This window comes from Homo sapiens, chromosome 11 (assembly GCF_000001405.40).
Source record: "Homo sapiens chromosome 11, GRCh38.p14 Primary Assembly".
Classification (NCBI taxonomy): domain Eukaryota; kingdom Metazoa; phylum Chordata; class Mammalia; order Primates; family Hominidae; genus Homo; species Homo sapiens.
The window spans coordinates 75,701,558-75,714,524 of record NC_000011.10 but is presented as its reverse complement, the minus strand read 5'-3'; the positions used below and the strand labels follow the sequence as shown (position 1 = coordinate 75,714,524).

General features: G+C 45.2%; 1 long non-coding RNA gene across 1 annotated transcript in view; it reads left to right on the top strand.

Moving 5' to 3' along the window:
* Positions 1 to 12,967, top strand: part of LOC105369392 (uncharacterized) — a 16,728-nt gene extending 3,761 nt beyond the window's left edge. The window contains exons 2-3 of the long non-coding RNA XR_950316.4: positions 11,586 to 11,764; positions 12,307 to 12,967. This is a non-coding gene — a long non-coding RNA (uncharacterized LOC105369392). The remainder of the gene's footprint in view (positions 1 to 11,585; positions 11,765 to 12,306) is intronic.

The following is a 12,967-nucleotide window of genomic DNA, read 5'->3' as shown; positions in this document are numbered from 1 at the left end:
CCCACGATATGTTATGCCACCTCTGTCATGTGAGACAGTTCTACGGATGCGTGGTCCGTGTATGGGCTTTTATTCTCTCCTGTTTGTCCTCTTATCTATCTCTGCCAGCACCACACTGTTTTTAAGAGCCCTCAGCTAAATTAGAGTTCCGGTACCGGAGCAGCTAGCAACACTGCCTGAGCGGGGTGGGGTTTTACAGTATGTTTTCCATAGGATACTCCCTTTACCTGGGGGACAGCCTAATGCCTAGTTGTCCGACCCACAACCAGGGAGTCCCTCACACAGGAAGCTTGTTTATAGTGGCAGATGCTCTGGATTCAGAAAAGGTTGTGTAAAAAAAGTTAAAAAGAAAAGGAAAATACATTGGCAGATGCCCTGATGGTTCTTATCAGATCTGTGTCCAATTTATGTCTGCCTGACCATTACTTGGACTCTGGGAGCCATCGGGGTAGTCTCTGGTTCTTCAGATAGAGGGTGCAAATTTAATACACCCCACAATAAAAAATATGTTCACTAACTTATTACTTATGAATCCTGGACAGGGAGGGTGCCGTGAGTCACGAAGGCAGTGCTCCATCCTGGGGTCATGAATGCAAAGTCAGGCAGAGAGAGAGAGAGAGAAACCCCACAACTAGTGGTAGATATAAGGGAATGGGGTGTAAGTCACTTAAAGTTTGCAGGCAAATACCTGAATTGTCCCTTTAAAGGAATCAGTGGCAAAGCAGAAAGCCCATTGGGCTGGGCTGGAGAGATGCCTCTAAGTTCTGAACTCTGGCCCCCCGTTTGAGACATTTGGGTGTGCCAGTCTATTTCTATGACTAGACAGCAACCTTTTCTGTGTGTTCCTGTTACAACTGACCCTGTGATGCCTGGGCATATGACCTTGTGTTTGGTGACGACTACTGCTTAAATAGTGGAGACATTGAAGGCTACTGGAGAAATGTGGGCCAGGCATGGAGCAAGGCATTTGATGAGCATCACTGAACACACAAACAATGTGGAGGCACCACTGTGACCTTAAACTCCACTCACAGGCATCCACTCCACTGTGTGGGGTTGAGCCAAGTGAATAGAGCAACCCTTCACCTAGGGCAAAGTAGGAAGGTTGTTGTGAACCCGGGTAAGGTTATAAAATACTTGTTATCTGTTGTGCCATTGCTTCTAGATTGGCTTTCACCAGGCTAGAGTTTTGTTGAGGTATAGAGCTGTGTGGCAGTGTACCTTTGAGCAGAGAGCAAGGAGTATACCAAGATCAGGAGCTAAGCAGGCAGTCAGTACAGAAAGAAAAGCAAAACTACACACTGTCCATTTGTGTGTTAGCAGAGCCAGTCCATGGGCATCACTGGAGTAGAGGTTTAGTGTAAGAAGTGAAGCCGTCTGTGGCACCAGGGGCAAAGCTATCTCCAACATCAAGGTCTTGGGTTCAGATGTGTCATCTGAGGCAATGTCACCTTCAGAGGTGAATTATAAGGCAAAGGTAATGTCATCTGAGATGTGGGACAGGTGTGTCCTTTTCATGGGGACCTACTCGAGTTAACGTGGGCCTCAGCACTTGTCATAATTGCTGAGGTTAAAACGGTGGTCTGCTGAAGGTTTTGGGCCTCTGATTGTAACCAGTGAAGCAGGCAAGGCAGTAGTGATAAGACCAACCAACAACAGGACAGTGTGCGGCTGCACCTGACAGGGTTTGTTTTGCGTGGAAGCTTGGGTTCAAATGGGTCCCCTATCAGAGGGGCAGCTAGCTGCCTGATCTAAGGAACAATCTATGGTTATGAGTCCCAGGAGTATATGCATCTTTAATCTGGCCCCTAACCCTTGAGGGATGGGGGAGAGATTGAAATTTATAAAGAATAGGTTAAGACCTGGGGTAAACTCAAGATCTTTAGTGTATTTATTGTATTGGAATTTGAAAAGAAGTTGTTTGAGGACATCATTAGAGCAACCATTGGGACCTATCAGGGACATGAAGTTTATATTGGATGCCTCCTCTGGAAGCCCAGCATAGTGGTGTATTCTAAGGAGTGAAATGTGTGCCTTCATAGCTATTAGTAATGTCTCTAACTCTGAAAGAAACAAGCAGTGAACTAGCAAGGCCTTGCAACATGGAGTTATGTGATTTTGATTTATAATTTGATGTCTGTGAAATAAGAGATTCCCGGGGTTTATTTGCTTTTTACCTTGATGGGAACAATTTTTAGGTAATGGCCCAATAATTAATAATGAATGTGAAGATGAGACCATTTGTTAGCCAGGACAGCCAGGGCTAGGATGACTTCCTGAAGTTTGACCAAGTGTGTTTTTTCTTGGGTCCTGTCCTTCATCATCCTGGCTAAGGGATGGAAAGGAACAGCTCTCCACTAAGCTGCATCACGTGTGATGGCTAACGATGCCGTTCCTACAGTCCATGAACTCCCATTCCTGTTCACTCAGTTAACACCAAAGGGCTTCCCAGGTAGCCAAGGGGCCTGGGGAGGGGTGACCTCTTCCAGCACCCTGGCATCTGGCAAAGGACCGAGAGAATGAGGAGGCCACCCTCTCCTGCAGATGGAATATCCCAGAGGGCCCAGTTGGCTCCATCCTGTCTTAGGGAGGCCTTGGTAGCCAAGCTGAGCTTGTGGGGTGATGTTTCCATACCTCAAAGCATAATGGACAACTGGGTATGGAGGGTCACAGGCTCAGGGTCTGTGAGAGCCTCTATGTCCAAGACAGTTCATAGGTAGCCAGTCATTTGCTGTTTTAATGGTGTATAGCCTGAGGCCAAGAGGGACAAGATCTTGCATCAGAAGCCCTAAAGCAACTAATGACTATCATAAGTGATCCAGAGACTCCAGGAGACATTACGGGAGCTTGCCAAAGGTTTACAGTGAAGGAGCCTTTTGAGATCACACACAGGAGTGCCTGTTGATTTTAATTTAGCAATAAAATTTGTCAATGAGAAATATGTTGCCACCAGAGCCCAAAAGTATTAAGAAATATTGGGGTTAAATGTCTTCAATGTGTGTATCAAATGCATTTCTTTGGAGTAGGACGTCCTCAATGCAATGTCATATCTGTGCCCCTGGGGAAGGCAGTTGTCATTAAGATCTTGTCTGCAAAGATTGTGTGTGGTGACAAAGCTGTGAAGGTCCCCCATGGGTACCCTGGAAAGGTGTATTGTGTCCCCTCAGCAGTGGAGGCAAACAGAAGCTGAGAGGCTGTTGGAATAGGCACTAAACAGACAAGGTTAGCCAAATATATAAGAGCAAAGTATTTACCACTTGTTGGTTGAATAGAATCAGCAACTTACATAATATTAAGGAGGCCGTGACGGATGGGACCAGGGTGTTAAGACTGTAGTCATCCAACATAAAGTGTCCTTATGTTTTAGGTGTCACATGTGTCTTAGGAGAGGCAATCTATGGGTGTTACTGGAGTGGAGGTTTAGTGTAAGTGTCCAGGCTACATTGATATACATTACATATACATTATATATATATATATACATATAATACATATATGTTCCATGAATACATATAAATTCTATATACATTATACACACATTACATTATTACATTATATATACATTATATAGTCATCTTAAATTTCAAAAACATTTTTCTTGGAATATTGGAATTCGCTGAATGGAACTCATTTTGAGGAAATGCATATATAAATAAAAATGAAAGATTAAGAATGAATGAATTAAATTCCTAGGTTATAAAATCTAGAAAAAGAATAACAAAGAAACTCAAAAGAAAGCCCAAGGAAGAAAGTAATAAATACAAAAGCAGAAATTAGTGATAGAGATGAGAAAACAAAGATATAATTAATAGATTACATTAAAAATACACTACTAGTTAATGTTATCACAAAAAGAGATAAATCACACATGTACAAAAAATAAAAAAGGAGAATGAATGAAATATTGAAACAAAAGAAATTTCTAAAAATCATAAGAAACTAGAACTACTTTGTAAACTTCTATACAAACAAGCTGTAAACTAAACTGAACCAATTAAAGATAGAAATACTTAAACAGGTTAACTTCCATAATAGACTCAGAGAAAGTTATCAAGAAATTATCCCACAAAAAAAGCACCAGGCACAGACAGTTTCACAGGTGAAGTTTAGCAAATCTGGAAAGATTAGATAGCCCCAGTGCTCCATAAATTGATTCAAAGGTCTTAAATTCAAGAAAAATTTCCAATTTCTTTCTTACACAGCAAATATAACATTGATATTTATACTCAATTAAAAAAAGCAGAGCAAAAAAGAAGAGTACATATTTATCAAATAATTTATGAGAATTGATGCAAAATATTTAAATAAAATATTAGAGATCTTATATTAGAAAATACTAGAAGATGGAATCCAACATCATGTTGCCATACACCATGAACAGGTAGGATTAAGGAAGCCATTAATATAATACAAAGGATTAATCAATTTAAGGAGAAAATCATATTAGTATCTCCATAGATGCTGGAGAAGCTGTTGACAAAACTCAACACAGAGTGAAATGAATGGGTGTTTTCTCAATATAATAAAATATACATACCTTGTTCCTAAAGCTAGATTTTTTTTTTTTGAGACGGAGCCTTGCTCTGTCGCCAGCCTGGAGTGCAGTGGCGTGATCTCGGCTCACTGCAACCTCCGCCTCCTGGATTCAAGCGATTCTCCTGCCTCAGCCTCCCAAGTAGCTGGGATTACAGGCATGTGCCACCACACCCGGCTAATTTTTGTATTTTTAGTAGAGACGGGGTTTCACCGTGTTGGCCAGGTGTGTCTCAAACTCCTGTTAAAGCTAGAATTTGAATGGGGAAATACTGGAAGTGTTTCTGCTAAGTGCAGGAAAAAACAAAGAGGCCCTCTACTATTCTATGTTGTACTGGAGATATTAGGCAAAGCAGTCAGAGAAATCAATAGGAAACAAGAATTTGGGGGAAAAGGAGTAAATTTATCCCTTGCAGATGATATGATTGCATACCCCGAAAACCCTAGAGAATGAATGGTAAAATTAATCCAGATAACGGAAAATTCAGTGAAATAGCAGGATATAAAATTAACATACAAAAATTAATAACCTCAGTATACACAAGCAATGTCTAGTTAGGGAATATAATGAAGGAGAAAACTCTATTTATATAGTAACAAAGAAGATGAACTACTTAGGAATAAACGTAATAAGAAATATGCAAAAGCTATATAAGAAGAACTTTACAACACTCCTGGAAGATGCTCAAGTAGAAGTAAAATAAACGAAAAGACATCACTTGTTCCTGTTTAGGATGTCTCAACATCATAAAAATATAAGTTCCTTCTTATTTAATTTATAAATTTAATGCAATCCCAGTAAGAACACCAATAAATTTTTATTTTGAGATGGAGTCTCGCTCTGTCACCCAGGCTGGAGTGCAGTGGCGTGATCTTGGCTCACCGCAACCTCCGCCTCCTGGGTTCCAGCAATTCTCCTGCCTCAGTCTCCTGAGTGGCTGGGAATACAGGTGCGCAGCACCACACCCAGCTAATTTTTATATTTTTTAGTAGAGATGGGGTTTCACCATATTGGCCAGGCTGGTCTCGAACTCCTGACCTCATGATCTGCCCACCTCAGCCTCCCAAAGTGCTAGGATTACAGGCATGAGCCACTGTGTCCGGCCACTAATCAACTTTTTAATGGAACTAAACAAGTTGATACTGAGCATTATATGGAAAAATAGGTATGAAGGATTAGCCAGGAAAACATTAAAGACAGCGTCTTCCATATGAGGCTCAGTATCAACATGTCTAGTTCCACAAAAAAAAAAAGTTTATTGATGTTTTTGTTGGGGTTGCATTAAATGTATAAATTAAATAAAGAGGAATTAACTTTTGTATATATTGATCTTGTGTCCTGGGACCTTGCCATTTTTACTTCTGTTGGGAATAGGCCCCCAAAATCGGGCCATAAACTGGCCCCAAAACTGGCCATAAACAAAATCTCTGCAGCACTGTGACATGTTCGTGATGGCCGTGACAAAGGTTGTGGGTTTACCGGAATGAGAGCAAGGAACACCTGGCCCACCCAGGGCAGATAACCGCTTAAAGACGTTCTTAAATCACAAACAATAGCATGAGCCATCTGTGCCTTAAGGACATGCTCCTGCTGCAGATAACTAGCCAAACCCATCCCTTTATTTTGGCCCATCCCTTTGTTTCCCTGAGGAATACTTTAAGTTAATCTATAATCTATAGAAACAATGCTTATCACTGGCTTGCTGTTAATAAATACGTGGGTAAATCTCTTTTCGAGGCTGTCAGCTCTGAAGGCTGTGAGACACCTGATTTCCCACTCCACACCTCTATATTTCTGTGTGTATGTCTTTAATTCCTCCAGCGCTGCTGGGTTAGGGTCTCTCCCACCAAGCTGGTCTCGGCAACTTCCTAGTTCCAGGAGACTTTTTGTAGATTCTTTGGGGTTTTTTTTACATAGACGGCGACGTCACCTGTGAGTAAAGAGTTTTATTTCTTCCTTCCCAATCTGTATAACTTTTATTTCTTTTTATTCGTTTGTTTTATTGCACTAGATGGTAAGAGACAACATCCTCGCCTGGTTCCCAAGCTTAAGGGGAAAGGATCCAGTTTCTCATCATTAAGCATGATGTTAACTATAGATTATTTGTAGACCTCCTGGCAAGACCTTCTGGTCTGGCATATATTAGAGAATGTATTGAATGAATGAATGCATGCATGCATGCATGCATGAATGGATGAATGAAAGTATCTGGAACATAAAGTGGTGGAGGAGTGGGAGAAGACAAGCATGGAACTAAAAATTAGGAATTATATTAGGCCCAGTTTTTATTTTTTATTTTTTATTTTTTTTAATTTAAAAGTAAACTTTAATGTCAAAAATGCAAACTTGGGAAGGGCAGAAAGATCACACAGAAGTCATTTCCTCTGAAGGGGAAGATTGGGAGAGATCAAGGGATATAGTCCTGGGTGACCAGGAAGAGAAGCAAAAGTCCACCCTTGAACATGTTGGGTTCAGGGGAACCTGGAGGGTTGCGTGGTGAACGGGCAGAGGGGCTCCTCACTTCCCAGATGGTGGGGCGGCTGGGCAGAGGTGCTCCTCACTAGGCCCAGTTTTTAAAGGTCTTGAATGCCTCAGAGCTCTCAGCCAGCAGGCTGATTCATCTAACAAGAAATAACCAAATGAACCTGCGACCAAAGCCAAGTGCTGCTGGTGGGTGCCATACAGAGGACCCCATTAGCCACTGGGTGCTGAGTGCCCACCTCTGCTGGCAAGGCCTGGCCTGCCCTGGTGGCCTCTTGCCCTTAGCAAAGAATGAAGAGGACTTTTTTTTTTTTTTGACAGTTTGGCCCTAAGGACCCGGGATTTCTGTCTGTGCTACTGGCTTTAGGCCGGGCACAGAAGAATGACAGGTACCGGTTCTGCTTCTCATTCCTTAGGTGACCTTGAGGAAGCACAGACCCTCTCTGGGCCTGTTTCCAAATCCACAGACTAGGGATGGGGATAGAATTATAGGGGAAAGAACTAGCGTTAAGGGCCTACTGTGAGTTGTTCTTTATATTAATACTTCTTAAAGAGCTAGGATTTTTGAGTGTCTACTATTAAATAGGCAACCTATGTGTATTATTTCATTTAATTCTCAAAGCAGCCTTCTGAGGTGGATGCTGTTAGAATCACTAGCCGGCACATATACAAACTGACATGTCATGTACCTCTCACAACAACCCTCCAACATAGGTTAGTCCCGCCAGGCTCTGGGAAGTGAAGCCGTGTATCTAAGGTCTCGCAGTTAATAGGCGGCAGAATTTAGGTTTAATTTGGGCCTCTTTACCCCAGCCCTTACTTTCCCCTTCATCATACTCTCCCTCCACGATTATAACTGTTCTCCTTTGTTGCCCAGCCCATGAAATCCTCAGGCTCCGGGACCCCATGTCCTCAATGTTAGACACAGAGCCTCGTGCAGGGCAAGTGGGAGGGACGTTAGGATGAAGGATCCAGCGGAGGCGCAGTAGGAGGGGAATGAGAGGGAGGAGAGGAGGCAGCGGGGAGGAGGCAGGCAAGCGCCCGCGGTGAGGAACTGCGCCCTCTGGTGGTCATTCTGAGAAGCTGCGGACAAGGTGGACTTGGTGCCCAGCGTGGGGCGGGCTCAGGCTCGGGAGAAGCATGGCAAGGGCCCGAGCTATAAGGAGGATCACCCACCGAGGTGGCTAAAGGCTCTAGTCCTGCTGCCTTTGGCTGGAGGAGAGTTAAGTCTGTCCCTCTCCAGGACTTGTCAGGATGGAGAATTCTGAGCTTTGCTCGGACTCCATCAGCGGTTGAGCCCCCGTCCGTGGTCAGGCAAGCTTTGGAGTGTGTCCAATGAGAAGGAATTATTATCTCATTTGACGGAGGAGGAAACAAACTCAGAGGTATTAAACAAATCGCTCCAGCTCACCACAGTAACGCCCCCTTTCTTCATCTGCTTTCTTTTTTCGTTTGTTTGTTTTAATAAGACTGTTTTGAACCCACCTAGTTCCTGGCCTTCTTCTCTCTTTATTTGCCCTCTCTCCCCGGGTGATCTTGCTCATGACATGGTTTTAAAACCCATCTGCGCACGATGCCTCCCAAGTTTAGATCTCCACCCCTCACCCTTCTCTGGGCTCCAGACTGCCAACTGGGTATCTTCACTTGGGTAGCTCCGAGGCACCTCAAACCCAACATGTTCAGGGGTGGCATCTTGCTTCTCTTCCTGGTCACCCAGGACTATATCCCTTAATCTCTCCCAATCTTCCCCTTCACAGGAAATGACATCATCCTCCAGCCAGTTACTCAAGGCAGAAACCCAGGAAACATTCTAGATTCCTCCCTTACCTTACACCTTCACCTTCAACCCATGAACAGGTCCTGTTGCTTCTAGTTCCAAAATATACCTTGAATGCAACCGCTTCTTCCCATCCATTTTCCATCTCCAAGTCACCCTCAACTGCAGGGACTTCTGCAATAGCCTTCATGCTAATGTTTCTACCTCTTTTTTGGGGCGGGGGGACAGGGTCTCGCTTTGTCACCCAGGCTGGAGTACAGTGGCTCCATCTCGGCTCACTGCAATCTCCACCTTGTGGGTTCAAGCGGTTCTCTTGCCTCAGCCTCCTGAGTAGCTGGGACTACAGGTGTGGGCCATCACACCTGGCTAATTATTTGTCTTTTTGGTAGAGACGGGTTTTCACTATGTTGGCCAACCTGGTCTCGAACCCTTGACCTCAAATGATCCTTCTGCCTCAGCCTCCCAAAGTGCTCGGATTACAGGCCTGAGCCACCGCACCCAGCCTCCTACCTCTCTTATTGATTTATTCATTCAACAAATCATTGATGAGCACATGCTGCTTACCAGGAACTGTCCTGGACACTGTGGAAACAGCAGATGCAATATTGCCCTCTAGCCTCTCCCTGTCTATTCTCCAAACAATGGGCTTGTTACTGTTCTGTGTGTCTGTGTTTGTGTGTTTTAATTATGCAGTTTCTCGCTTAACACGTATATGCTGACTTTCAACTATTCACTGTGGCCCAAAGTGCCTGTGTAACCTAGTATTTCCAGCACCTTCTCCCAGCAAGCCTCTCCTCTTCTCCATCCATGTCCACTGGGTTTTAACCACACTGCCTTCCTTTCATCCTTCTGATTCCTCAACTAGGCCATATTCTTTGCCAGCCACCTGAGGGCCTTTGCTCATGCTGTTCCTTTGGCCTGGAGTGCCCATTCCCCTCACTCTGTGTGCTGCCGAGTCCTCCTTCAGGTCTTGGTTTTTTGTTTTGTTTTGTTTTGAGACGGAGTCTCACTCTGTCACTCAGGCTGGAGTGCAATGGCACGATCTCGGCTCACAGCAACCTCTGCCTCCTGGGTTCAAGCAGTTCTCCTGCCTCGGCCTCCTGAGTAGCTGGGACTACAGGTGCATGCCACCACACCCAGCTAATTTTTTTTTTTTTTTTTTTTTTAGTATTTTTAGTAGAGACAGCATTTCACCATGTTGGCCAGGCTGGTCTTGAACTCTTGACCTCAGGTGATCCACCTCAGCTTCCCAAAGTGCTGGGATTACAGGCGTGGGCCAGCGCACCCAGCCCAGGTCTTGGTTTAAATGACACCTTCTCTGAACACCCTATTTCCTCTCTTTGTACCCTGTCTATTTCTCCACAGCCCTTATCTATTACAATAGATGGTAAACTCCTTTAGGGCAGGAAACAGGTTTATGTAATTCACCAATCTGTCCTCAGCACCCAGGTGTGCTTGTTGAATAAAGGAACTTGGAACTAAGGCTGTCTCTTCCCACTATAGCCCTTCTGAGAGCTGAAGGGAGTGCCTGCTCTTCTGAGGTTTCTTTTCTTCTGGCTGAACACCCCATGCAGTAGCCTGGCCTATGCAGCACTGCTCAAACTGTGTTCTGTTTGAAATGTTGTTATCTCGTAAAGGTTCCATGGTGAATGAAGTTTAGAGTGTCACAGTATCCAGCATGGGGTAAAGGCTCTGAGAAGTCCTGCTGTAAGGAGCCCATTTAGCTGGGTTCAACCCAGACATTCCCAGCCTTGTTTATCTAACTACTGGGATACAATTTAATGCAAAACTAGACAAGTCCTCAGCTCAGGAGCTGTGGCCATTCTGTCCAGGAATTGCTAGAGAGTCAGCCTGGAGACTGGGCGTGGTGGCTCAGGCCTGTAATCCCAGCACTGTGGGAGGCGGAGGCAGGCAGATCACGATGTCAGGAGTTGGAGACCAGCTTGGCCAATACGGTGAAACCCTGTCTCTACTAAAAAATACAAAAACTAGCCAGGTGTGGTGGCTCGCGCTTGTAATCCCAGCTACTTGGGAGGCTGAGGCTGGAGAATCATTTGAACCAGGGAGGGTGAAGGTTGCAGTGAGCTGAGCTCCCGCCACTGCACTCCAGCCTGGCGACATAGCGAGGCTCCGTCTCAAAAAAGAAAAGGAGAGTCAGCCTGGAGTGGCAATGAAGCCTGGGCCTTGGGTTAGACATGGTCCTGGGCTGAATGTGGCTCTCCATGCCCTGGTGATGATGACTGTGCTGGTGCCTGTGGTCAGCTGGATAAAGCCCCCAAAGATGTTCATGTTTGAATCCCCAGGACCTGGGAAAGATACTTAGTATGGCAAGAGGGATTTTGCAGGTGTGACTACATGAAGAAGTTTGAAATCATCATGGATTAGCCTGCAGGAGCTGGATGTGCCTGGTGTAATCACACCGTCCTTATAAGAGCGATGCAGAGGGTCAGGGTCACAGGAGAAGGTCCTCACCAATCTGATGTACTTTGAACATGGAAGAAGGGGCCTCAGCCAAGGAATATGGCAGCCCCTAGAGACTAAAAGAGGCAAGAAAACAAAGGCTTCCCTTAGAGCCTCCAGAAGAACCAGGCTTGCTGATACCTTGACCTTAGCCCTGTGAAACTGTTTCAGACTTTCGACCTCCAGACCTTCAGAGAATCAATGTGAATTGTTTCAAACCACTTGGTTTGTGGTTATTTGTTGTACCTGCCATGGGAAGTGAAGACAGTACCTCACAGGGGCTCATGATGTCTTGGTTCTAAAATTTGTCTTTTCTTTCATTCTCTTCAACAGCCATGACAATCATCTGTGCTCTTCTCTCTGTGCCTAACATTGTCATCTCCCATATGCACCACTGGCCCACCTTTGAGAAAGAATTCAAACTCCACTTCCTGGCCAGGCTGGTCTCGAACTCCTGACCTCAAACCCCACTTTCTTCATGAGGCTTGCTATGACCCCACCACACCCACCAGGTAAAAGTAGAAACCCACAGAACTCAAAGTGGGGAACCCTTCCCACCGGTGCCACATTCAAGCCTCATTCCCCACCAAACTGAACATCCAGGGAGGTTTGTGGATGATGTAAATGGAAGGCGCAGAAGGTGAAGGCCCAGGGTGGAAAGGGCTCTGCCCTCTGGGCCTCCACTGAATTAGGCCTGTGCTCTGTCTGACCTGGGGAGTGTCCTCATCTGTGCCCTCACCTTGGGTCCACCTTGTGAAGCCAACACACCACTTTGCCTCCTGGACCATTTCCCCTGGATGTCTCACAAGCCCTTCAGGCCCACCACATCCCAAACTGACATCAGCATATACCAAACATGTGCCCCTCCTCATTCCCTGGCTCCTGTGGGCATCACCGCCTGCCCCTACCCCAACCCAGGACTCTGACATCATCCAAGCCTCTTCCTTCTCCTCCACCTCACACTCTCTGTCCTTTACAAAGTCCCATTATTTCCGCCTCAGACACATCTCTCAAATCCATCTTCTTTTCTGTGTCTCCACTACCCGTGCTGCAGGCCAGACCACCATCACCTCTCACTGGACCCTGCTACGACCACCTCCCTGATCTTTCTGCCCTTGGGCTCGCTCCATGGAGCCCCTTCTCCACACAGCAGCAGCCAGAGGCAGTTTCTGGAGCCCACAGCTGAATGCGTTGTTCTCCTTGCTCAGGCAGAGAAGAGGACAGATGGGGTTTTGGTCTCCTGTGTGTAGCCAGAGGGACTGCCTTGTCCTTCGCCATCTCCAGTAGTTCCTGAGACCACAGCTGCTGATGGCAAATGCCCCCAGTCCCAGCCATGCCCCAGCCCCCTGCATTGAGAGACCCAGCTCCACCCAGAGGGCAGCTGCAGCCTCCTTCATCCACAGCCACTGCTGTGACCAAGAGGGACATTGTCCTGGAAGGCCAGTGGAGCCTTTCTGAGGCCTTCACAGGCCCAATGTCCACCCTGGTCATGACACGTATAATAACACAGCTCTTGCATTAAATACTATTTACTGCAGCAGAATTTTTTTTTAAGTTTGTTATAATTTTGAATTTTGTGAAGAGTAAATTATTCATTTTGTTTTTTAACTTGAATTTATTCATTATACCTAAGTAAGAATTGATCTGGGCTATGCTTGGCTAGTTGGTATAATACCACATCTGTAGACATTTAATTAAACATGTATTAATTTTAA